The sequence below is a fragment of the Homo sapiens genome, chromosome 12 (assembly GCF_000001405.40).
Source record: "Homo sapiens chromosome 12, GRCh38.p14 Primary Assembly".
In the NCBI taxonomy this organism is placed as follows: Eukaryota; Metazoa; Chordata; class Mammalia; order Primates; family Hominidae; genus Homo; species Homo sapiens.
The window spans coordinates 27,617,758-27,643,238 of NC_000012.12; the positions used below are offsets into that span (position 1 = coordinate 27,617,758).

Here is a 25,481-nt window from a genome sequence, read left to right on the forward strand (position 1 = left end):
AATTCATGGATACAGAGGGCTGACTATATATATGTATGTATATGAGTAAATGTATAAATTTATTCATGTCACTTTGGAGCACTAGTCCTATGAGACATAGTAAAATATGGAAAATCCTGACTATATTGATCATTTAGTAGTCCTGCCCACGTCATTCAACATGTAGCTGTGGTAAAAGCAAGTTTTCAAGTTCCTGTCAAGACAACTCAACACATTTACTCTCTTCTGCTTCTCTGCCTCCCTCATTCCCTCTCTCCTGAAAGTTACGGGTTGTCAGAACTTTTATTGAAATGAAAACAAAATCTAAGTTGATTCTCTAAGACATGAAAGAGTCAGAGTCTAACAAGTCCATTAATATTCTATTCTTTCCTATGCAGTACTGCAAAGCATGTTTGGTGATGATAAAGGAATAGTTTTGTTTTGATGGATACAAATAGTTGTTATTTATTTCATGATCACCATGGTAAGTGTAAACCAAAAATAAAATTCCAACCACCTGAATGGACCCCTCCTCTCGGCCAAGGGCATTCCAAAGTTAACCCGAAAAACTAGTTTAGGCCGTGATGGGAAGGGGGAGCCCAACATGACTCATTATTCCCTCTTCCTTTTTGGAATTACTGATAGAATAATCTTTTAAAGTCTGATAAGAAACATTGACAATCTATTCTCTGAAGCTTCCTACCTGGAGGCTTTATCTGCATGATAAAACCTTGGTCTCCACAACCCCTCATCTTAACCCAGACATCCCTTTCTATTGATAGTAAGTCTTTAGATAATAACAACTTTTTCAACCAATTGCCAATCAGAAATTCATTGAATCTACCTATAATCTGGAACTAACCAACCTCCCTCCCCCAAATTGTGCTCCCTTTCTGGACTGAACCAATGTAGATCTTACATGTATCAATTGATGCCTCACGTCTCCCTAAAATGTATAAAAGCAAGTTGTAGCCTGACCACCTTGGGCACATGTTCTCAGGATCTCCTGAGGGCTGTGTCACAGGCTGTTGGTCACTCATGTTTGGCTCAGAATAAATCTCTTCAAAATATTTTACAGAATCTGCCTCTTTTCATTGCCATAGACTTGATAGAGAAATTTTAAGAGTGGGTCTTTAGTCCTTAAAAAGCTCGATCTAGTAGAGACAACATTCCAAGGACCTGGTTAAGTGAGGCTGCTTGCCAGAGATACACTTTTTCCTTAGCCAAGTATAACATCTATTAGAGATAACCAGTGGTTCCATATGGTACTTGGTAACAGAGGCTGAGAGAGAATGGGTGTGGGGAGAGACAAGTGCTATAGGAGTACTTGATGATGCGGTAATCTTCCTTGAGTATTCTGCCATGACATTCAGTTTTTATATACGAGATCCAGGCACAGCCGTCACTGGGTATCCACGGGGAGTTGGTCCCACGACCTCCCACAGATATCAAAATCCAGAGATGCTCAAGTCCCTGATATAAAATGGCATCGAATTTGCCTATAACGTAAGAATATCCTCCTGTATACTTTAAATCATCACTAGATTACTTATAACACCCAATACAATATAAATGCTAGGTAAATCTTTGTTGTGTTGTTTAGGGAATAATGACAAGAAAAAGTCTGTAAATGTTTAGTCACAGACACATTTTTTTTTCAAATATTTTCTATTCATAGTTCTTTGAATCCACTGATGATGCACCCACAGATATGGAGGGCTGGCTGTATTTCATCAAATTTCAGTGTAAAGGATGACAGGGTAATGACTCACCCAGAAGATATTTTTATAGTTCCTCCTGTTTCCTTCCTTTGATGGATGAGGGAAATGCTGTCATACTCAGAAGTTGAGAGTGGGCAGTTAGTTGCCTCAGTAAATGGCCACTCCATCCTCCTATGGCTTAGGCCATAGTCTTGAGTTTGTCCTTTCTCCCAAATGCTATATCCAGTTCTGTTGGCATTTACATCAAAAATATACACAGGGCAATAGAAACGTTGCTGTCTTTGTTAGGGGTATGTTACATAGGTGTATGTATTTGTCAGAACACATCAAACTGTGCAGTAAAGATCTGTGCATTTCACTCTCTAAATTATAACTTAATTCATATGTGTAATGCATCCTAATATGTATAGTAATATACATTTTGTATTCAGAATATATAGCAATATGCGTTTATATATATACATATATATTTACTATATGTGTATTCACACATACATACATTTTATATATATATTTACATATATATACACGCACATATTTACTATGTGTGTATTCACACATACATACATAGCTAGTGTCCCATCACCATCTCTACTGCTCACACCCTGACCCGAGCCACCAATAGAACACCTCTCATCTGAATTGTTGCAGTTGTTTTCTGACTGTTCTTGCTTCTACCTCTGTCACCCCTGCAGTGTGTTCTTAGGAAGGATACTTCTTAAAACAGAAATCAGATCATGTCATTCCTTGGCTCAGAACCCTCCAGTGGCCTTCCATCTCCATGCTCAATTGAAGTCAAAGCCTGGCTGCCATGGAGGCCCCAGATTCCACTACCCCACCACTCCCACCACGCCTTCTGTGCCTCTGGGACCACATTCCCTACTAACCCTCTGGCTCACCAGCTTCCGGCCCACTAACCTCAAACATCAACTACATGAAGCTCTCCCTTCTAGGGGCCTTTGCATTTACTGTTGTTTCTCCCTGGAAGCTCTTCTCAGATATTTCTGTGACTTTCTCCCTTCACTTTCTTCAAGGTTTTAATCAATGTCACTTTATCAGTGGGGCCTTCCATGATTATCTGATCAAAACTTTTAAGTGCCTGCCATTCCCTTTCTGCACAAAGAGCTGGCACGGTATATAATTAAGAGGATGCGCTCTGCTGCCAGACTGTCTGACTTCACATCATTTTCTAGCTGTGTGACTTGGTGCCTCAGTTTGATCACTTTCTGTGCCTCAGTTTGATCACCAATAAAGTGGGGATAAGTATTGTGTCCTTAGGGTTATTGTAAGGATTAATTGAATTGATATATGAAAAGCACTAAAAACAGTGCCCGGTACAGAGTAAGCTAATGTTAATGTTATTCCTCTTGCTTGCTTCGTTATTTTTCCCATAACACTTATCAATCACCTTCTCACCTGCTATATATTTAAACTGTTTATTTTTTGTGGTTTCTTGCCGTTACAATGTATGCGCCATCAGAGCAACAACTTTTTACTTTTTTTCCTCTTCTATTTTCTTTCTTTTTCTTCACTACTGTACCTTCATCACTTAGAATAGTGCCTGATATGCAGTAGGTACTTAATAAATATTGTGTAATCAATGGGTGAATGAGAGAAGAGTCTGTGCACTTTCAGGAGGCTGTAGGATAAGGTAGGTTAGGGAAGGGGCTGGAAACATTTTCTGCAAAGAGCCAGATAGTAAATATTTTAGGCTTCGTGAGTTACAACTACTCAACTTTGCTGTTGTGGCATGAAAGCCACCATAGATGATACGTAAACGAATGAATGTGACTGTGTTCCAAAGAAACTTTATAAAAACAGGCAGTGGGCTAGATTTGACCATAGGTCATAGTTTGCCAACTCCTGGGTTGGGGAATAATTTTTGGCTTTACTTTCCTCCTTCTCATTACTCCTCCCTTCAGCCAGCAATTAGTGCTATTCACTCAGAACTGAAATATGAATAATTTGAAAAGCATTACATTACCCCTTAGTATTTGGCTCAGTATTCGTTAATTGTACAAATTTTCCATATGTCTCTTAATATTGTAATAGGAAATAACAATGTTAAGAATATATTTTGAAGTTTCAGGGCTCTGGTTTTCATTTCTCTTCTCCCACAGCCGAAAACTGGTAATTCTGGCCAGGAGCACGTATGCTATAAAGGAACAAGCAGTGTTGGCATTCCTCTTACTGTATGGCCAAGAGTGTAACTGACACCCAGTTGGAATAGAAACCAACAGAAATTACCTACAAGACAAACTGTTGAGTTTATAAGATTATTTATAAAAACTTATTCCTCCACAAAACTGTTTCCTTGCCCACAGTTTTTACCACTCTTCCCAATCGATTTTATGTGCTCACAAGTTCTTGCAGCTTTTTAATGCAGTGAGTTTTTGACCATGTGACAAACTGAAACTTTAACACAAAATATATAGCTTTTATTGTTGTAATTAAAGCAGACCTGAAATTAGACTCATTTTGCTGATATGATCCATTGTGATTAGACATATAAGCAGTCCAACTACGTGACTGCAACTGATGTGAATTTGACGCAACCAGAAATGGTTTTTGTGTCACCTCTTCTGAACTTAGCAGCCCATCCTTATTGTCGGTGCTAACAGTTTTCCACTTGCCGTTTAATTGTCTTCATCATTTTATATGTGTGGAAAGAGAACAGACCTGGACCATCCTCCCCATTTGTTGGGGTTTTCTTGCTCCCTGTGTTGCACCTTTTTACAGCTGTGGTCCAGGGCTGCAGTTTCCAATCAGAGTGTGATGTAACCTACTCCCAAGACACCTGGCCAGTTTGCCCCCCCAGAGCAGTGCTGCTCAAACCATCTCTTGGGAAAGACCATTTTGTTTTTCCATCATGAATTGATTCATTTTCTAAAATTCAATTTAAAAAGAAAATTGAGTTGCCAGCAGAATTATCACATAATTGGATATCACAGCAAGGCCAAGTTGCGATGTAATTTTTAAAACATTTATTCTCAATTTCTGTACTTACAGTAGACCGGTAACAGTTTGTGCACCAGCTCCAGTCCACAGACCATATTCTAAGCAATGCCACTTCAGTGGTTTTCACTCCAGTGGTTTTCAAACGTTTTTAACCCAGTATAAAGTATGCATTCGTAGGCTGTAAAACACATGAATGTGTAGACACCTGTGCAGACACACACACGCACATACTCTGAAACCACTGGAATGTCAGCCCCCTAAGGGCAGAGCTTCGCTTTTCTTGGTCTTTTTCACTGTTCTGCGTCTAATACCTGGCGCATAGGAGGCCCTCAATCAATATTTGTTGCAGGTATGTGTGTGTGTATGTGTGTGTCTGAATAATCAAATCAAAATTTTCACACGATAATGCTTAACCTTTACTCCTGATGAAATAGCCTTTTGTTGTCTATTTAATAAAAAGAAATACTGATTTTAGTCTAATAATTCTATTTCAGTACATTCTAATTTTAGGAGTCGTGACCCATGGTTTATAAAACATTCCTTTAGAAGGTGCTCATGTATAGGAATTTATTATTCTTTTCTTCTTCACAACTTTGAGTAGCTGTTGCTCACTCCTGTCTTCCTATGGGTATACATATCCCAGAACTGCTTATATCTAGGAAGCAGTCCATGTAGCCTGCATACATTAGGTTGGTAGGCCTGTGAAGGAAAATAGAGATAGATGAGTCTCCAGGTTTTAAAGAGTTAAAAAGAAGGGAAGAATGAGGTTAGAGTTAGAGTGGGTAGAGCAATAACAAGTTGAAACAGACCCGCTGATACTCCTCCATAATACTGGGGACTAAGTTTGCAAACTCTTAGGAATAATGTCATTCCAAAATAGTACAATGAATTTGATTCGCCTACATCTCAAAGAGCATGAAATTTCAGTTTTTAAGATTGTGGATAGCAAGGCTAATAATAATGATCGCATTTATCTAAATGTATCTTAAAATTTAAGGTCATGGCTCGGTGCAGTGTCTCACATCTGTAACCCCAGCACTTTGGGAAGCCAAGGGGGAAAGGATTGCTTGAGCTCAGGAGTGTGAGACCAGCCTGAGCTATATAGCGAGACCTGGCCTCTACTAAAAATAAAAATTTTAAAAATCAGCTGAGTATGGTCGCACCCACCTGTGGTCCCAGCTAGTGGGGAGGCTGAGGTGGGAGGATCACTTGAGCCCAGAAGGTCAAGGCTGCAGTGAGCCGCGATCATGCCACTGCACTCCATCCTGTGTGACAGAGCCAAGACCTTGTCTCAAAAAAAACAAAACAAACAAAAAAACAAGTAAAGGTCAAGATGTAGTTTTCTGGCTTATGCAGCTAAGAGGAAGGTGATATTATCAGCCAAAACAGGGCATATGGGAGCCAGGATACTTAAGACATCAGAGTGTGTGTGTGTTTGCGGAGCCACTGAGTCATAGCTGCACACAGCAAGCATTTGGTGTCCACCACACTAGAAGATGCGGAGCAGATAGCAGAAATACAGTCTGTTTTCAAGGAGCACACAGCTTCATCCAGGAGACAATCACTGTAAAATCAGGGCTGTCATGGAGGTGGCGGTCAGGCTGGCCTTGGAGGAAAGAATGCATGACCCACCTTGAAAAACATGTGTCCCAGGACAAAGAAGAGGGTCCAAGCAGTAGGGGGATCAGTGCATGTCATGGCACAGAGGTGAGAGGGCAGAAGTGTCTTCTAAGGAGGGCATGTCTTTGCAGTATGGTGGGAGGCCGGCAGTCCTGTACATAGTTTATGGTTTGGATTAGAAACTACCAAATGAGTGAGAGGCATATGTGGGAACAATATGGCTTTTAGACTCAAATCTCACTTATTCAGTGACCTTGAACAAATTCCTAACTCCTCCGTGTAGTCATAACAATAGCTAGTAAGAGTAGATATGGAGAATTGCAGCTTTCTTTCAACTTGTCACAACTTATCACAAGATCTTCAAATCTACTGACATTTAATACACATCAGTTTTTCAATAGCAGCAGCATCCTTTATTCGAGAAGTAAAAGATCTTGGCTTATTGTATGAAACTTTTCATCAACTCTCTTCTGGTTATTCCTAAGCATTAATAGCAGAGAGCCAGAAGGCTCATTTCCTTTTACCTCATCCTATTTTCCCTTGCTGCTTCATTTACTTGATTACTTACTAGCTTTGCCTCTTTGTATTTTGTGGCGTTTCATTTTAGTGAACAAGAGAAGTAACTTTTACTAATGTATTGTCATTAATACGCCCTCTTTTGTACTCTGCCTTACAATCCTCTGTGAGTGGCTGTTCCATTTCCTGAATAGCGTGTGCATGTGTGTGTTTGTATTTGTGAGGGTGGTTAAAGTAACAAGTGTTTTATTATTTGGTTTATAAATATTTGGTGAGCCCTTAGTATGCTTGAGGTTATGATAGAGAAATAAAATATCTAAGACAATATGTCATGGTTGAAGGTGTTGAAAATTTTGTGGTTTAAATACATGGATGAAAAAACTGAAACGTTTTATTATGGAAAGCTTCAAATATATAAAAATATAGATAGGATACCCAACTGGGTGCAGTGGCTCACACCTCTACTCCCAGTACTTTTGGAGGCTGAGGTGAGCAAATTGCTTGAGCCCAGGAGTTCAAGACCAGCCTGGGCAACATGGCGAAACCCTGTCTCTACAAAAATAAGCCAGGTGTGGTAGTCCCAGCTACTAGGGAGGCTGAGATGGGGGGATTGCTTGAGCCCAGAGAGGTTGAGGCTGCAGTGAGCCATGTTTGCGCCACTGCACTCCAGCCTGGGCGATAAAATGAGACTGTTTCAAAAAATATTTGTATAGATGGATAGAATAGTATAGTGTACCCCTACATACCACCACCCATTTTCAACAATTATCAACTTATGGCTAATCTTGTTTTATTAATATCTTTACCCTTATTTTATTCTATTTTATTTTAAAGCAAATTCCAAATGTTGTATCATTTTATCCATGAGTATTTTGTAACTTGTCTCTAAAAAATAAGGACTCAAAAAAGATAAGTATAATAGCATTATTAATAACCTTAGAATGACAGTAAGTCCTTAATATCAAATACACACTGTTCAAATTTCCAGTTATATCATCCATTCTATACTTATTTTACAGTTTTTTACAGTTTTTTTTTTTTTTTTTGGAGACAGAGTCTTGCTCTGTCGCCCAGGTTGGAGTGCAGTGGCACTCCAATCTCAGCCCACTGCAATCTCAGCCTCCCAGGTTCAAGTGATTCTCCTGCCTTAGCCTCCCGAGTAGCTGGGACTACAGGCACATACCACTATGCCCAGCTAATTTTTGTATTTTTAGTAGAGATAGAGTTTCCCCATGTTGGCCAGGCTGGTCTCGAACTCCTGACCTCAAGTGATCTGCCCGCCTTGGCCTCCCAAAGTGCTGGGATTACAGGGTGAGCCACTGCGCCTGGCCTTATTTTACAGTTTGAAGCCTCCTCAGGAGGGGCTAAGGTGGGAGGATCACTTAAGCCCAGGAGTTTGAGGCTAGCCTGGGCAATATAGCCAGACCCCATTTTTTAAAAAAAGTATTGTAACATTAGATATCGCCCCTGCTGCCAACATCCCCTACCTTTTCTGGTTTCGCCACCTCCCCTGCCCTTGTTTTGCCCTTTCCAAGTGATTCTGAATTAATTTTCTAGGGATGTTAGAGCAGATTGGTGGTGAGAAGGGCTAATAGATTGGGGAGGAAAAAAACATGTGATGACAGATACAGAGCAGAGAAACAGAAAACAAGGAGGGTTGTATTTAAGAATCTCTAAAATGTTGCACGCATAAGTACCTATAGTGGTTGAGGTTTAAAGGGAGAGGTTTTTTGAATTAAAACCTGAATGGCTTCTTCGGAGCTGTTATTTTTGGATGTAAAGTAAGAAGCTGAGGCGTGGGGAGAGGAATTCTGCCCTTATTTACCTTGTCAGCCAATTCCCACCTCATCTGGGCAGGGCTTGTTGTCCCAAGGAGGAAAGACAGGCCTCAGTGTGTGTGAGTCTAGTGATTGAGTGCGCCTCAGAGCCAGTGGGAGGGCTTGGAAAAACACCGATTGCTGGGCCTGCCTCTGGTGTTTCTGATTCAGTAGACCTAGGGTGGGGTCTAGGGATTTGCATTTCTTTTTTTTTTTGAGATGGAGTCTCACTCTATCGCCCAGGCTGGAGTGCAGTGGTGCGATCTTGGCTCACTGCAACCTCTGCCTCCTGGGTTCAAGCAATTCTCCTGCCTCAGCATCTCCAGTAGCTGGGACTACAGGCTCACACCACCACACCCAGCTAATTTTTTATTTTTAGTAGAGGTGGGATTTCACCATGTTGGCCAGGCTGGTCTCCGACTCCTGACCTCAAGTGGTCTGCCCACCTCAGCTTCCCAAAGTGCTGGGATTACAGGCGTGAGCCACCATGTCTGGCAGGATTTGCATTTCTTACTAGCTCACAGGTGATGCTGCTGTTCCAAACCACTGAACTAGTACCTGTTTCTCCCTTTAGATCTGGTTTGGGTTTTGTTTTAAATTAATTTTTATGAGTACATAGTAGGTATGTGCCTTTATGGGGTACATGAGATATTTTGATACAGGCATACATCACATAATAATCACATCAGGGTAAATGGGGTATCTATCACCTCAAGCATCTGTCATTTCTTTGTGTTACAGACATTCCAATTCTTTTAGTTATTTATAAATGTACAGTAAATTATTGTTGACAGTTGTCACCCTGTTGTGCTAGCAAATATGATGTCTCTGTTTTTAAGATAGTTTCTCTTTGCTGAGATTGTATTGCTGCACACATTGGCAATCATTGCGTAATTGATTAACCTTCTGAGACAGCTTCTTGGCAGAAAAAAAATAAAAAAACTAAACTGTTGAGAAAGGTATGAGTAATTTGTGTGAAAACATATTCTATTTTCATAATGACCACAGAATACTGTGGCGTTCTACCAGCATAGTCGAATGTATGTGAACATTCTCCCTTTCTCTGAAGATTCCTTCTTTCAAGTGTCTTAGTCTCAGTGAATTGTATCTATCTTGGGTAAGAAGTTCAGGGTTCTCTTTCAAGCCCAAGCATTTTACCTAAAGAAAGCTGAGAAAGCTAGGACAAATGTTATTCTCACAAAAATTTAAAAGAAACTTGCTAATTTTCTTATGGCCTTTCTTTTCTTCACAGGAAGACTGGGCAGTGAGCCTGACCTAAAACATCAGTTAGTCAGCAACCGTGCAAAAAATTATGGTGTCCTGCCAATGCTTTAGCCACCACATCCATGCCCGGAACTTTCCTTGATATTTTACCCCATTCAAATCTGCTCTAAATGGGTCCTGACCAAACTTGAAATATACCCTGAACATATTTCTGTTGGTTACCCACCCCCCGCCCCGGTTTAGTCTCTTACTATAATATTTGAATCTTATCCCCAAGAGCTTGCTTATCTAAAACTTTCCTACATTTATTTTTATTAAGCCATTGGAATAGGAAACCAGTAGCCCAAGAACTCCTGCAAACGGAGCTCATTTCTCTGTTTACATCACCCAACAAATAAGAGGCTTCTCCAGTTTGAACTATGACTTTGAACCCCAGCTTCACTCCTTTGTTGTGGTAGTGATTAATGTATTTCCTGGTACCTTTTTCTTTAGCAAGTCATTCAAAGAAGCATATATTAGCCACTTAGAATCCAGAAATAAATTTGCTATTTTGTGAGAATTATTGGATGGTGAATTTTTTTGTTCTTTAGGATTTTTTTTCTTTACTTTTGAGACAGGTTCTTTATCACCCAGGCTAGAGTGCAGTGGCACAATCACAGCTCACTGCAGCCTTGGGCTCCTGGGCTCAAGTGATCCACCTCAGCCTCCTGAGCAGCTGGAACTACAGGCACATGCCACCACACCCAGCATATTTTGTACAATTTTTTGTAGAGACAGGGTCTCACTATGTGGCCCAGGCTTGTCTCAAACTCCTGGGCTCTAGCGACCCTCCTGCCTTGGCCTCCCAAAGTAGTGGGATTACAGGTGTGAGTCACTGTGCTTGGCCTTGGATGGTGAAGTTGTAATTTTCTAAGGGGTTTTGTCCACCCAAAGAACTCAACTATAACTAGCAGATTTCTGGGTAAGCAAAGAATGGGAAGAAATGGAGCTGGATATTCTGAGCCTTTTATTTTGGACCATAGGTTCATATAATTGGATTATTCATGATCCTTGATTCATGACATATTATCATCATAGTCTTAGATGCAGAGGTCCATGCATGTCCAACTTCATTCATTATTTAGTTCTTTTTTAAAGTGGAATTTTTATTTCTAATTTCTAACAACCAACTTCTCTTTCCTAATTTTTCAAATACCAAAGTTTTATTTGGAAAGTGATCCTAGGAAAGACTTAGAGAAATAAAGAAGAGAACTGATAAATCATGCATTATCAAACAAGTTACCACTCTGAGTAGATCTTAATTGTCTGGATAATTCTGGGAACCAATGTAGATTACATGAATCAGAATTTGCTCTTTCTAGGGGGAAAGTGTGCTGGAGTATTTAAAGCTGATAACTTTAAATATTAAAGGGACATTAATTCTCTAGCATTTTCAGACCACCACATCCAATGGCAGAGGGCTCCCTGAAATCTTGGACAGTTAAAAGTTGGGCTGGCATGCATGGAATTACAGAGGGCACCAATTACATCTGCCTCAGTTAGAAGCTAAACGGTATTATTAATTCATCTGTTTCAAAGGCATTCCCAATTAAATTAGTTCTAAATGAATTTTATGCTTTCAACATTTAGCCAACAATGAGTGGTTCCTTCCCAGTTAAAATAAAGAACTTAAATGGGATTGACATTGGGATTCTTTATGCCTGACAAGCTTTAAAGACCATTGCATAGTTTGATGAGTTTTGGCAAATGTATAAACTTGTGTAACCTATATCTCAATCAAGATACTGACCAGAAATTCCACTGGTGTCTCCTTTCAGTCACTCACCATTTTCTGTAAGTAATTATTGCTCTACCTTCTATCGTAGGTTACCTGTTCTTGAATTTCATATAAAAGTATCATACAGTACATGGTCCTTTCTGTCTGGCTTCTTTTGCCCAACATAATGTTGCATGTATTATTTGTTCCATCTCTCTACTGTAGAATAATATTCCATTGTATTAGAATAATATTTCATTATATTAATTATGTGAGGAAGCCCAGGGAATCTTCCTCTCAGAAATATTTATGAGGACTTAAGAAAGTCTTTTTAGAGACCAGGGGATTTTCTAAAGCTTTTTTATTTAGCCTTTTCATTTTTAAAAATACGTTGACCTAGCCCTGAAAATTAACATAGCTTTGTCAACACAGATGCCTGATAAATTAGGCTGCCTCTAAAATAGCTCAAACCATGGGCAAGGCAGAATTTTAATAAATATGGATGGTCTATTCTTAGTACTTCACCACTTCAGGTTGTGTGTTTCTTACTCTTCTGTGTAGTTCTTTAAAACCCATTTGAAATTTATCGAAACTGATTCTGTGGCCTTGCATATATGCCTTATCCTGGTGAATATAACTTGTAGACTTGAATGTATATTCTGCATTTGTGTGTTTTGTTCTATAAATTGAATTTGATCAAGATGGTTGATAATATTTTCAAATCTTGTGTGTTACTGAGTTTTTTTTCCTACCTTACCTGTCAATTCTAAAGAAGGTTGTAAAAGAACAAATGATAGATGGGACAAACAGAAAAGAAATAGCAGGACAATAGACTTAAATCCAACCTTATCAGTAGATTTAAATCCAACCAGGTCAACCATATCTATATTATGTTAAATATAAGTGGATTAAATTTGTCTAATTCTCCCTTAACACCATCAGTTTTTGCTTCATGTATTTGGAAGCTTTGTTATTAGTTGCAAAAACATTTGTGCTTGTTATGACTTCCTGATGAATTAACACTTATCATTGTAAAATATCTTTCTTTCTAGTCATACTTCCTGATGTGTAGTTTTTAAATAAACCCGCTCCTGCTTTCCTGTGCTTACATATGTATGTTATCTCATTTTTCATCCTTTTACTATTATATTTCTTTATATTTAAAGTCTCTATTAACAGCACATAATTAGGACTTAAAAAACTAATCTGATGATCTCTGGCTCTTATCAGCGTTTACTGCATTTGTACTTAATGTAATTTTAAAAATGTTATTTTAAAAAATTGTTATATTTCAGTAGCTTTAGGGGTACAAGTGGTTTTCAGTTACATGATGAATTGTATAGCGGAAGTCTGGGATTTTAGTGCTTCTGTCACCTGAATAGTGTACATTGTACCTATTTTCATCCTCACCTCCCTCTCACTCTTCCTGCTTCTGAGTCTCTGCTGTTATATACCACTTTGTATGCCTTTGCATACCCATGGCTTACTCCAACTTACACAACACTTAATACGATTATTTATATGCTTCAGTTTAAGTCTACCACTTTGGCTATTGATTTTTCTTTCTCCTATGTGTCCATTGTTCCTTCATTACTGCCTTTGGATTTAATAAAATCGTGGCTGAGTCTGCAGGGTTGTAGGAGCCCAGGAATTCAAGACCAGTCAACTGGCAACATAGTGAGACCTTGTCTCAAAAAACAAACAAAAAGTAAAGGTTCTATGAATTCATATTCTCCACAACACTTGGCTATGTCAATTTTTTTCACTAATTGGTTATAAAACATTATCACATTCCTTTATACTCCTCATTTATTACTGATACTAAGCAGCTTTTCATATTTTTATTGGTTGAAAACATTTCTGCCAAATGATTGTTCATATCCTCATGCCTCCTATTTTTTCATTGATTTCTAGGAATTCTACACTTGGAATACCACTGAACTGGACGATTTTGATTTGACTACTTTTAACTTATTAGAGAAGTCTTTGGCCTTTGATTCTAATGCCAGTCCCTGGCTACCTGTTTAATTTGCAAAGCCTTCCAAATTGGACCCCCTTATCCTACTCCATTTTTCCCCTTAGCACCTACCACCTTCGCCATGTTACATATGTGTTTATTACTTGTATGTACTGTCTTTCCCTGACTAGTACATGTAGGCTGCTACATGATATAGAGATTAAAAGTTAACGTTTTGAACTTTCATAGCAATTTAACATTGTCATCATATTTTTATTAAATGAAGGGATTCGTCTCCAATGAATTGGAAATTTTTAAAGAACTAGTTCTTCACTACTTTGAAAAGCATGGTCTAGATTGTCTCATACCTTCATATAATAGCATTTGAAAGGCTCATTAAATAGAACAGAGAAGAACTCGGTAACTATTGTACCTATCGGACTTGAACTGTTTATGCTCTACACAAAATATAGTTGCTAACAAAGACGAATATTTTTTTCTAATTTAGTGAGATGATATGTTTTTCTAACATGGGCATTACTTTGTGTTATTGGTATTCCCATGTTTATAGCTGAGCCTGGTATGTGTCTCTTTGTTTTATATAGACACATATATAAGTGGTTATTAAATATGTGTCCTGCTTCTTTGGATGGTGCACTGGCTGAGTGTGTGAATAAATTTTTTGGAATGACCTAGGTTCATAACCTAACTTGTTGATTCCTTGTTTCCTGGGTAACCATAGACACATACCTTGAGTATTTTCATGCTGTAGTATTTCCAGATAAATGGTAGTGATATTTTTCACCTTTGGAAGTGAGTAAAGTTCTGGAAAATCCTTAGGTGAAATGACTTTAAATCAAAATAATATTTTACAACAATTATATGGCATTATGTTAGAATGAATGCATAATTGGGAACTCATCCAAGGAGTTGATACCGGAACTATAAATATATTTGTGAAAATAAAGTGGTGAGATTTGGCTGCTTGGAAACAGAGGGCAAAGGTTTCTGGGAAACAGCATGCCCTTTATTTCCCAGGTATTTGCTCTATCACAGTATCTATAACATAGTAAGAGCTTTATTCGGGTCTATTGGGAGAATCTACTGGGTGCTTAGTCTGGTACCTGAAATGCATTAATGAATGCTGAAAATCACATTATCTTGACTTTTTCCTGCCAATGACCAAAGTTTTTGCAAGCATTATCTCAATATATCTTTTAACAGATAAACCAATGAGTAGATTGTGATGTAATTTCAGGATAAACCCATCTTCAGATAGGATCAGGTAAACAGAAATTATGTATTATAGTGGAAGTTAGACAGACCTAGGTTAGAAACTGAACTTCGCTATATTTACTTTGCTGTGTTTCCATGCAAAAATCAAACATCTTTTATCCTCATTTATAAAATGGAGATGAATTTACACATTTTATAGAGCTGTTGACTAAGGATTATGGATAATTTATGTAAATGTGTAGGAAACACTATAGGCACTCAATATGTGATAGCTATGGCTCCACTACAAAATGTTTAGTATCAGTAGGGGTGTATGTGTGTGTTTGTGTGTGTGTGCACATACATTTAGTATATGTGTTAGTGAATCCTTTTCTTAGACAAATCTTAAGCCCTTGTACAGAAAGAAAAAACAAAAACAAACAAAAATAAATGAAATTAAGAGAGCAGAGATTGGGTGGGGCTGGTAAAGGGAGAAAGGAGTCTTGTCTGGCCAGTGCTTGTCATGGCCCTCAGCAAGCTTCCATGGCCATCCCTGTTGCCCTTTACAGAGGCCTAGAGTTCTAGAGAACAGCATGGAAACCATGCTAGTGGATTTTAAACACCTCAAGTGCAAGAATGGAATCTTCTTTATTAACTGATACAGGTATCGCATGTGGTCTTGTGCTACAGTAGGTGATTGGCCACAGCTTGCTACTCCACTACTGAAGTTCTTCTTCCATATTTGACTACACAGCAGAGTTATCATTTGAAGGTGAATTAGAAACCCACTAGCAAGCCTATGTCATTTAATGGATGTAATGATAACCTTATTTTTTTTCAGATCTGGGTTGGAATTTGCCCCTGACAAATAATAAAATGATGAGTGATGCAAGTGACATGTTGGCTGCAGCGTTGGAGCAGATGGATGGTATCATAGCAGGTGATCTGCATCCTGTGAAAGACAGAATCACAACATTTACTCTCCTCACTTGGCTTTTTCACTACAACTTTCATATTATCTTTTCACTTTATTTTCATTTTTTAGACCTATGCCTTTTGCTTCCCTGTAATTTCATCTTTGTTCCTCTTCTCCATTTTCTGCCAGCATTATTCTCAAACATTATTTTAAAGTATCAAAAATTTCAGTTCCATCCTAGGTTTCTAATCAAGGATAAAGAATCTGCATCTCAGGTGATTCTGGTGTAGGTGGTCTGTGGACCATACTTTGAGGGACACTTCTCTACCCAGTGAACATGAATGTTCTGATCTGTTTTCTTGAATTCAAAATTCACTTTCCACCAATGACTCCCGTATCTTTTTTTTTTTTTTTTTTTTGAGATGGAGTCTCTCTCTGTTGCCCAGGCTGGAGTGCAGTGGTACAATCTCAGCTCACTGCAACCTCCGCCTCCTGGGTTCAAGCAGTTCTCTGCCTCAGCCTCCCAAGTAGCTGGGATTACAGGCACCCACCACCACGCCTGGCTAATTTTTGTATTTTTAGTAGAGACAGGGTTTCACCATCTTGGCCAGGCTGGTCTTAAACTCCTGACCTCGTGATCCACTCATGTCGGCCTCCCAAAGTGCTGGGATTACAGGCGTGAGCCACCGTACCCGGCCATATCTTTTTTTTTTTTTTTTTTTTTTTAAGAGAGGAAGTCTTGCTATGTTTCTCAAGCTGAAGTGTAGTGGCTATTTACAGGCATGATTACCTGTGAATAACATGCATAGTGCAGCCTTGAAATGCTGTGCTCAAGCAATCTTCACACCTCAAGTACCTGCGATTACAGGCACACGCCACTGCACTTAGCTCGTTCGCATGTGTTTACCTTCCCAATTCTTTGCTAAGCTTCCAGTTCCTATCTCTAATTTCCAACCAGATATCTGTCCAGAAATGTCCTATGGGCACACCAGTATAATCATTTAATGCATTGAGCTCATTATCTTTCCTCAGAATTTACTCTGATAGTCTTCATCTGGGTTCATTTCATAACCCTTCATCCACAGTTTTTCTAAGCCAGAAATCATTTGGTCCAATATTGGTCCGGAATGGACCAGGTCTAATATTTGTATTTTCTGATCTGCCACTTTCTTATCCATCATCTTCATGAGGCCAGCACACCTCACACCAAAGCCCACCAGGCTCTTTTTCTTTCTATACCCCATGATTGGCCTCCTAGTTACGAACTGGACCATGGATATTTACCACTAACTACATGGTTTTAATTTTTGCACCATGTAACTCTGACTTGGAGAGATTTATGTGATTGAATTCTCTTTTTTCTGTTTCTTTTGATTGTTCCTTACTGTGACTAGACTGGTTTACCGCCTTCGGCTTTGGTATTTTTATCTAACATAAATCCCATTGCTCTCTCTGTGATTTTGTTTAACTTAGGTTCTAAGGCTCTGGAATATTCCAATGGGATTTTTGATTGCCAATCTCCCACCTCTCCATTCATGGGAAGTTTGCGAGCTCTGCACCTTGTGGAAGACCTGCGTGGATTGTTAGAGATGATGGAAACAGATGAGAAAGAAGGCTTGAGATGCCAGATCCCAGATTCAACAGCAGAAACGCTTGTTGAATGGCTTCAGAGTCAAATGGTAGGGTCTGCCTGTTCCAAATTCTGTTATAAATCCTTTGTTGCTTATTCCAAAATTTAGAACATAGAATAGCTGATTAGAACAAGAAAAGTTTAGGGCAACACATGTGCTCCGATTTTATTACTTAAGATATCTTAATTTTCTTTTGACTCTAAGGATAACTTTTTAAAAAGTGCTATTAGTGTACATTTTGTAAATACCAACAACAGGTCACCTGATTCTGCCCATAAAAACAGACTGGCTTTTAGATTGTGCCTGAATGACCTACTGTGGCTTAAATCAAATAGTCCTGTAAGGGAAAGAATCTTGCACATGATAGATGATTTCTCAGTCATATTGGGTTATTCACCATAAAGGATCCAATAGCAATTCTAAATGGAAAGCATGATGAAAGACTTTCAAAAAGCAACAGGATTTACAGCAGTATTTGACCGGAAGTGCCATCTAGTGGTTTATGGCAATCATTTCAGTTCCAGTTCCCGAATTAAATTGTGGAGTTGGGCCTTTAACCCATTTATGCGCAGTGTTCCATTATTGGAACGCTAAGCTTGTGGGAGTTATTTATATCCTGCTCAAAGTCATCGCCAAGGTCTCATTTAAAAAAAAAAAATCACAACCTCCAGCATAAATGGGTTAATGGTGTTACTCACTGAACAATGAGGCCGCTTTCTAGGCATCCTTCTCAAAAATTGAAGATGTGGCAGAGCTACCCTTTGTCTGGGCACGGTTGGAAATACTGTGGTTTTAATCTGTGATGAATACATAAAATCTAAAGAATGTCACAAAAACAGATTCAGTGGAGGACAGAGGAAAGGAGATATTTTGTGCTTAAAGGATATTCAATTTTCAGTAAGATGCACTCATATGCTTATGAGTTAACTGTGTTGATATAAAAGCTAATAAGAATTGTATGAAAGAATCGTGATCTACTTTATGATCTGTGGTAGACATGAAAACCGCTTGCTTTGGGAACCTTAAGAGTACATCCTACAGCTAAAACATTTTCATATGATGTGACACAAATATTAGAGCTCCCAGCCAGTCCTGTGCTGAATACTCTGTGTTCCCACCTGGTTTACCTCTGCGTTTCTGAGAGCGAATAGTACAATCTATCCTTTAGTGGGGGTGCAGCTACACAAACTGGAGTTATTTTACTTGTTAAAACACATAATGCCTTACTATTATACTTTCTATTTGCTCTACAGATTTCTCCTCCAGAGACTTAAGGGTCCAGGTTTGCTGATTTCTTTGGGGATTGCTTCATGCTCTGTACTTGGTGTTTCCTGACATATTCCTTAGTCTATTTCAATGTCCTATCTCACCCCTTCTTTACTCCATGTTCTTCTGACCATTTAGCATGCAGTGAAAAAGGAATTTACTATTGTTAGAAGAACGTATTTCTATCCCACACCCAGAGGCCACCAATGGCAATAGTAGCCGAAGCGTACCTGTAGTTCAGCTTTTGACATGTGTCTAAAACATGTCCATTAACATGTGCTTAATCTGTTCTGTGAAAGTATTTTCAGAAATGATAAAAAGTAATGATGGTTACATCTGAATATAAGTTAGATCATGACACTCACTCCTTTTTTCAGAAACTACCAGTGGCATCACATCTTACTCAGAGTAAAAACCACAGTGCTTACTGTGGGCTGCAAGGCCTCGTAGGATTTGCCCCCCATGACTTTCTGACTTCATCTCTTGTCACACATCTCCTTATTCGCTCCACGCCAAGCACAGTGGCTTTTTCACTGATTCTTAAACATGCCAGGTACACTGGCCTCAGAGCCTTTGCACTGGCTTTTCCAGGCACTGGCTTTTCACTCTGCCTGGAAAGCTCTTTCGCCAGATATTTGCATGGCTAGCTCCCTCACATTCTCCTGGTGTTTACTCAAAAGTCATGCTCTCAGTGAGGCCTTGTATCACCACCCTAACTAAAATTATACCCATTTATTCCTTGTCTTACATCTCCCTGCTTATTTTGTTCTTAGCATTCACCATTTTCTTATGTGCAATGTGTTTGTGATGTTTATATCATTTATTTTCTGTCTTTCCAATTGGAATGTAAGCATCAGGAATCAGATTTTTGCCCTTATTTTAAAAAAATTACTGTATCCCTGGTGCTTAGAAGAATGCCTGGCTCAGTAGTTATATTTGTAATGAATGATGCTCCATGAATGATAAAGTGGATTGCATGTTTGAATGAATGGAAGTTGTTTTAAATTTATTCTTTGGATGGGTAATGGCTTGTTGATCTGTGTTTTCAGTTGCTTTGTGTCTTATTATTTGACATTTTAACCTTGAGAATCCACAAAATGACAAATATTTTACAGAACTAATGAAGATTCCGTTTTTATCCTAAAAGTAACAATAACAAAATAAACTAGATGTAGATCCAGAGAGATAAGGAATTTTTGTTGTTGTTGCTAAATTTATTTTTATCCATCTAACTTATCTATATGAATTCCTCACCTTGCCCCCAACCTTCCAAATTAAGTGTGTTTTCTCAAGCACACAGAGAATGACAGGATGAAAGAAGAAAGACAGCAAAAGGCAAAAAACAAAGCAAGAAGAAGAGAGGAGGGCTGGCTGTTTGGAACCACAAAAGCATAGGTGTGAAATTAAGTTGTCACCACACACCTACCACGATAGACTTTATTTTAGAACCAAAAAGCAACTTGGGCCAGCATTGGGAATCCAACAAGTAGAAGATTATATACTTATAATTTAGTAATTTGCTGATAATATTAAATTTTTCCAATTTAATATTTCAGAAGTTGGGATGTGTTTTATGATCTTAAAATGGGTATATGTATACATTTTAGCTCGGATCCTTCCTCCCTTCCTCTCTCCCTTCTTTCCTTTTTTTATTAATAAGGTACTTAGAATAGTCAAATTTTAGAGACAGAAAGTAGAAGGGTGACTGCCAGGAGCTGAGGGGAGTGGGGAATGGGAAGATAATACTTACTGCACATAGAATTTCAGTTTTGCTAGATGAAAAGAGTTAATTAGATGGATGATGGTGATGGCTGCAAAACAATGTAAATGTACTTACTACCACTGAACTGTACACTTTAAAATGGTTAAAATGCTAAATTTTACATATATATTTTACCACAATAAAAAATTAAAATTGATAGCATCCTAGAATTTAAGGAACACAGAATCCTAGCAAATTCCCCCTTCATATTGAACATGGGAAAACTGCCCAAATAAAAGAGATTATGATGTTTTAAAAAAGGAAGCAGTGAATGATAAGGCAGGATTGTATCTAGGCAGTTTCAAATGCAGGCTGCAGTGACTGCAGACCTGAATTTTAATGTTGGCCCTAAGTCTTTGAAGCTTATATGACCTTGTGAAAATGTCTGAAGCTCTGTGTCTTGGTTTTCTGGTCTGTAAAATGGGGATGATGGTTACTGCCACTTAGGATTGTAAGGACCCTGTGAACTAACATATGCTGAGCACTTATTGATATGCCTGGTCAAAGGCTTGTCAGAAAGGTAATACTGAAGAGCAGAGCATAGAGAGTAGAGGGAAAATGTTTAAGAGCAACCCTTTGCAATGAGGGAAGGAGTTGGGTCCAGTTGCAATGGGAGTTAGGTTACAAACCACCCATACATAGTTCACTTCTTGCAATGAAAGAGTACAAACATTCCTCTGACTGAAGAGAAGCTTCTGGGATATTTTAGAAAAACTTAAATTCAAAAATTTTTGGAAATAATTATGTATCTGTTAATAATAACAGACATATAATTAAGGTTCCATTCATGTTTAATGATGGCCAACTTGAGAGGCCCTGTACTTTAAGATGGATACTAACCTTTTCATTAGTGCAACTGGGCATTTGCAGTTGGAATTATCATTTTACCTGGGCCAGGGAGATCCCCTGGTTTCTTGTAGGATGCAGGTTATTTCTTTGCTGCTAATTGCTCCTGCCTGTTTGTTTCATATGATCAGACACTGAATGTGATAAAATACCAACACTAGTAGCCTGTTACAGTGAGGGGACATTAAATCTATAAGAATGAATTTATTAGTGTAGCTCTAGGCTTCTGGAAATGAACAAATTTCTTTTAAAATTCAGAAGTGCGTCTCCTGTGGTTAAAAAAAACTGTAGACTATGACATATTTGTTTAATTACTGAGGGTGAATTTTCTGTTTCAATTATGAAATATAATGTGTTAACACAGATATTAATAATGGAGAATTACTTGCTTTATGAAGCTCCAGATTTAAGAAGGAAAATGGAAAAATACGTCTAATTGTTTGAGTTAAGCAAGTAGTTACTTACTTTAGGTCTAACTTGATGAGTTGCCCTAGAACATTCTTATAATGTTTTTTTAACTGAGGATCATGACCTTGATCCATGTCAACAGAGGATCAGGTGGTGAAATCCCGAAGGTGTCTGGCTATTTGGCAGTTTTAATTATGAGGCCATCTCAAAGTCAGCAGAAATTACAAAAATACAATTTTCAACAAAGTGAGTGAAATACTAATGGTGAATACTAATGGTAGTAACGCCAAAGCAGGCATCATCACCCATGAGATAGGTAAACAGGTGAAGTGAGGTGTTCTGGACTGGCTTCTGACCTGTTAAATCATCATAATACCCTTCTCTCTTATTTTTACATTAAAAGTGAGATAATATTAATCCCAAATGTATATTTTTAAAAGTTGCTATAAAAATAAAAATACTCATAACTTAAAAGAGTTCAGCCACGGGACATGCTCTCTGCAGGGCTGCTGGCTGTTCTTCCTGAGTCCCTGACTCCCAGCCCCACGAAGCAGTCCCCGTCCTACCACCCTCCGATCCCTGCTGCTTTCTGACCAGCTTTGCTTTTCATCTGTGCCTCCAGGAAATGTTTTCTCAGGCCTTGGCAAACAAGGTACATCTTAAGATTGTATCCCATATGTGATCACAATTATCTGAGTTATGCGGTGCCTCACTGAGACATCCTAGCTAAAATTAAGGCAGTTTTCCCCTTAGTCTTCAAGTAAACTCCCACAGAAAGTGTTCACAGACACAGAAAAACAAATTGATCAAATCGGCAGAATTCTTAGTTTACAGAGGTAAAAGATGTGCTTTTCATGGAATCCTAGGCCACTGGTATTTGTTAGGACTGAAGGGAAAGAGGTTTCCCTGTTCCTTTGGGAAAGTGAGTTAAGAAAGAAAATGTGACAAGAACAATAGGGACTTTTTCTTGGTCTCATGTTATCCTTCCCAAAGTGGAAGAGAGATTCCTCCTCTAGATCTTCGTATCCTGTCACACATTGCTGGCTTTCAACAAATATTGAATAAATGAGTGAATCACGATATTGAATGAATGAAGTTGCTGCTATACTGAGATAGGAGCTGGGGCTTCGCTTTTAGGAACACTGGGAACTTCTTTTTTCTCTGTCCTCCCCAAATTCAGGGGACTTAGGTGTGTACCTATGACTAGGGTAATATTATAGTCTAAACATGTACCCGCCCCCCACCCCCGGGTTGCCCACTGCGAAGCTCATGCCCTCATTCCACCACACCCAGTGAGAGGACAGGGGAGCGGAGTACTGCCACTGCCTGGTTGCTTGGTTTCCAGCATCACTGATATCATGTTCTTTGACTCTTTGGACAGTAGTGGTGTAAGATGCCTTATTATGGTATTGAACTCAAATGCAATATGACTGTGCTCTTCATGGCTGAAAGATTCAAGTCTTATCTCAATCTCTCCTCATAGTTCAGAGTCTAGTGGAGAGCAGGCATGCAGGAAATGTTTGCATGCGTGGCAGAGGTATAATTCTGAGTACAAAATGCTGTCATAGTAATTATTTCTTTTGGTAACTAGAGATAATGTTTACTTAAAGGAGATTTCATGGACTGAGCCTTACTCTTCCTTTCTTGATCCTGAATGTTTAAAAACAGAGTTATGAAATCAAGACTGCGTGACAATTTTAATAACTAGTTTTAAAAATAAGTATAATGACTGGCTGGAATGTGGTGTGTGCGTGTATTTGTGTATATGCAGTGTTACTAATCCAGCTATGCTTTAACATTTGTTGACCTTAAAAAGGGGGCTGTTTTCTTTTCCCCATTTTAATTTAGATACTTACCATTCTGATTTAGGAATCTTACACTCAAAATTAGTTTCTGTTTTATAAAATAAATAAGCATTATTGTGGCAAATCACTGCTTGTATGTTGATTTTGGATTTAGACAGGACAGCAGAGCTCAGGAAAGAACAAAGCAAAACAAAGGGGAAACAGGAAAGACAACTGTAGACCAATGCAAACCAATAGAACCCAGAAAATCAAAGGAAAACACAGCATGATGTTATAAGTAAAAACAGTGGGTGAGACTCCTACCTTCCGTGAAGTAATAACTATTGAAATGGAATGGCAAGTGCATGGGGTTTCATCACGTGCATTTCTCTACTTTAAATCTATTTGAAATTTTCTGTAATAAAAAACATTTTTTAAACAGACACAAAGGAAAGATGTTAACATTTATTATGTCTTTATGCTTGATTGTAATACTTCATAATTAAAAGGAAGTTGATATAAAAAGAAGGCTTTCTAGCTGGGGAAGGTGACCACACCCACCTCTAAATACGGGGCTTGTAACTGAGCTCACACCCGACCAATCAGGTAGTAAAGAGAGCTCACTAAAATACCAATTAGGCTAAAAGCAGGAGGTAAAGAAATAATCAAATCATCTATCACCTGAGAACACAGGGGGCGGGACAATGATCGGGATATAAACCAGGCATTCGAACTGGCAGTGGCAACCCCCTTTGGGTCCCCTCCCGTTGTATGGGAGCTCTGTTTTCACTATATTAAATCTTGCAACTGCAAAAATAAATAAATAAATAAATAAATAAATAAATAAATAGAAGGCTTTCCACTTAGATGGTGAAGGGAAAAGTAGATGGTGTTCTAATGTTATGTGTAGCACCTGCCATGTAGAGTCAGGGAATTCGTTTTCCGGGTGAGGTTCCTGGCTAGCTCTAAGATTCTGTAATTCTATGAGGGATAAAGCGTTTTAGATGTGTTTCTCCCCATTGTGCCAGGAAAACCTGGCAGAGGCCATAAGTTCCTTAATTAAATCAAAGTACCAATGTTACAGTTGAGTTATATCTCCCCCACTGACTCTGCATACACACTATTGGTTGGATACTGTACTGTTGAAGTCCCCAAGTTGACTCCAATTTCGACTTAGCTGGATTGAATGCGGTCAATAAGGGGTTGCACCATGAGCTAAAGTAGAAAGGTAAAGTGATTTAGGCTTCTCTAATATGCTGTGGAAGTCAGATCGACTCAACAAGAGTTTATACTTAAATACATTTTAAGTTACGTGCTCAGGATTTTACAAGCACCATGGAAGAATCAAAAGAAACGTAAGACAGTTTTGCACTGAGAAACTTAGGCTGAGTGACCAACTCACATAAAATTATTAGTCATCTACCTGAGGCAGAATATGATGAAACACTAAAGAGCACAGTTTAAGACAAGACCCAGAAGGTCAGCCCGTAGATGGGGAAAGGAGAATGGCACCATGTAAAGAGGAGGTAGACATGGGTTATGAAAGACAGATTGATCTGAGAGGGAGGAGTGGGAGGTGAGTGGAGTGTTGGGTACAAAACCTTGGGATAGTTGTTGTAAAGGAAAATGGAAGAAAGCTCATTAAAAGGAAGAAATGGAAAATGATAAGTAGAAGTGGTGATTACAGGTCCCAGCAAAACAGGAAATCAAGGTTCCAAAGTAGAAGTGGAATGATGAGCTTTCAGGAAGGAGTTAAGAATCAGTTCTCCCAAGCCTGCAGGACGAAAGAAAGGAAAGAAATAAGAGGTAATATATATTATACTATTACGCACTGAGGAAGAAGGTGTCTAAGGGAGCTCACACAAGATGGCCTTAACTATTGTCCATTACAAAGGCTCTGAGATCAGGCGGTCGGTTAGCTCAGTTGGTTAGAGCGTGGTGCTGACAAAGGCTCTGAGATCACCTCCTAAACATAGTGGGAAGAGAGAGTACAGGAGGAAAAAGGAGCCAGTCTAGATAGAGGTCAACCATGGCGTGCATACCAGATTATAGAGGACACATAAATAAAGACCCACTGAGAAGCAAGAAGGGCAGATCAAAACCAA

General features: G+C 38.7%; 1 protein-coding gene across 49 annotated transcripts in view; it reads left to right on the plus strand.

Moving 5' to 3' along the window:
* Positions 1-25,481, plus strand: part of PPFIBP1 (PPFIB scaffold protein 1) — a 171,359-nt gene that overhangs the window by 93,552 nt on the left and 52,326 nt on the right. For 47 of the 49 annotated variants that reach the window (XM_017020056.3, XM_047429753.1, XM_047429758.1 and 44 more), the window contains 2 exons: positions 15,605-15,703; positions 17,153-17,358. The exons of the other annotated variants lie outside the window; for them this stretch is intronic. In XM_017020056.3, coding sequence (XP_016875545.1) covers positions 15,640-15,703; positions 17,153-17,358 — 270 coding nt within the window. In that variant the 5' untranslated portion in view covers positions 15,605-15,639. The remainder of the gene's footprint in view (positions 1-15,604; positions 15,704-17,152; positions 17,359-25,481) is intronic. 49 annotated transcript variants of the gene reach the window in all.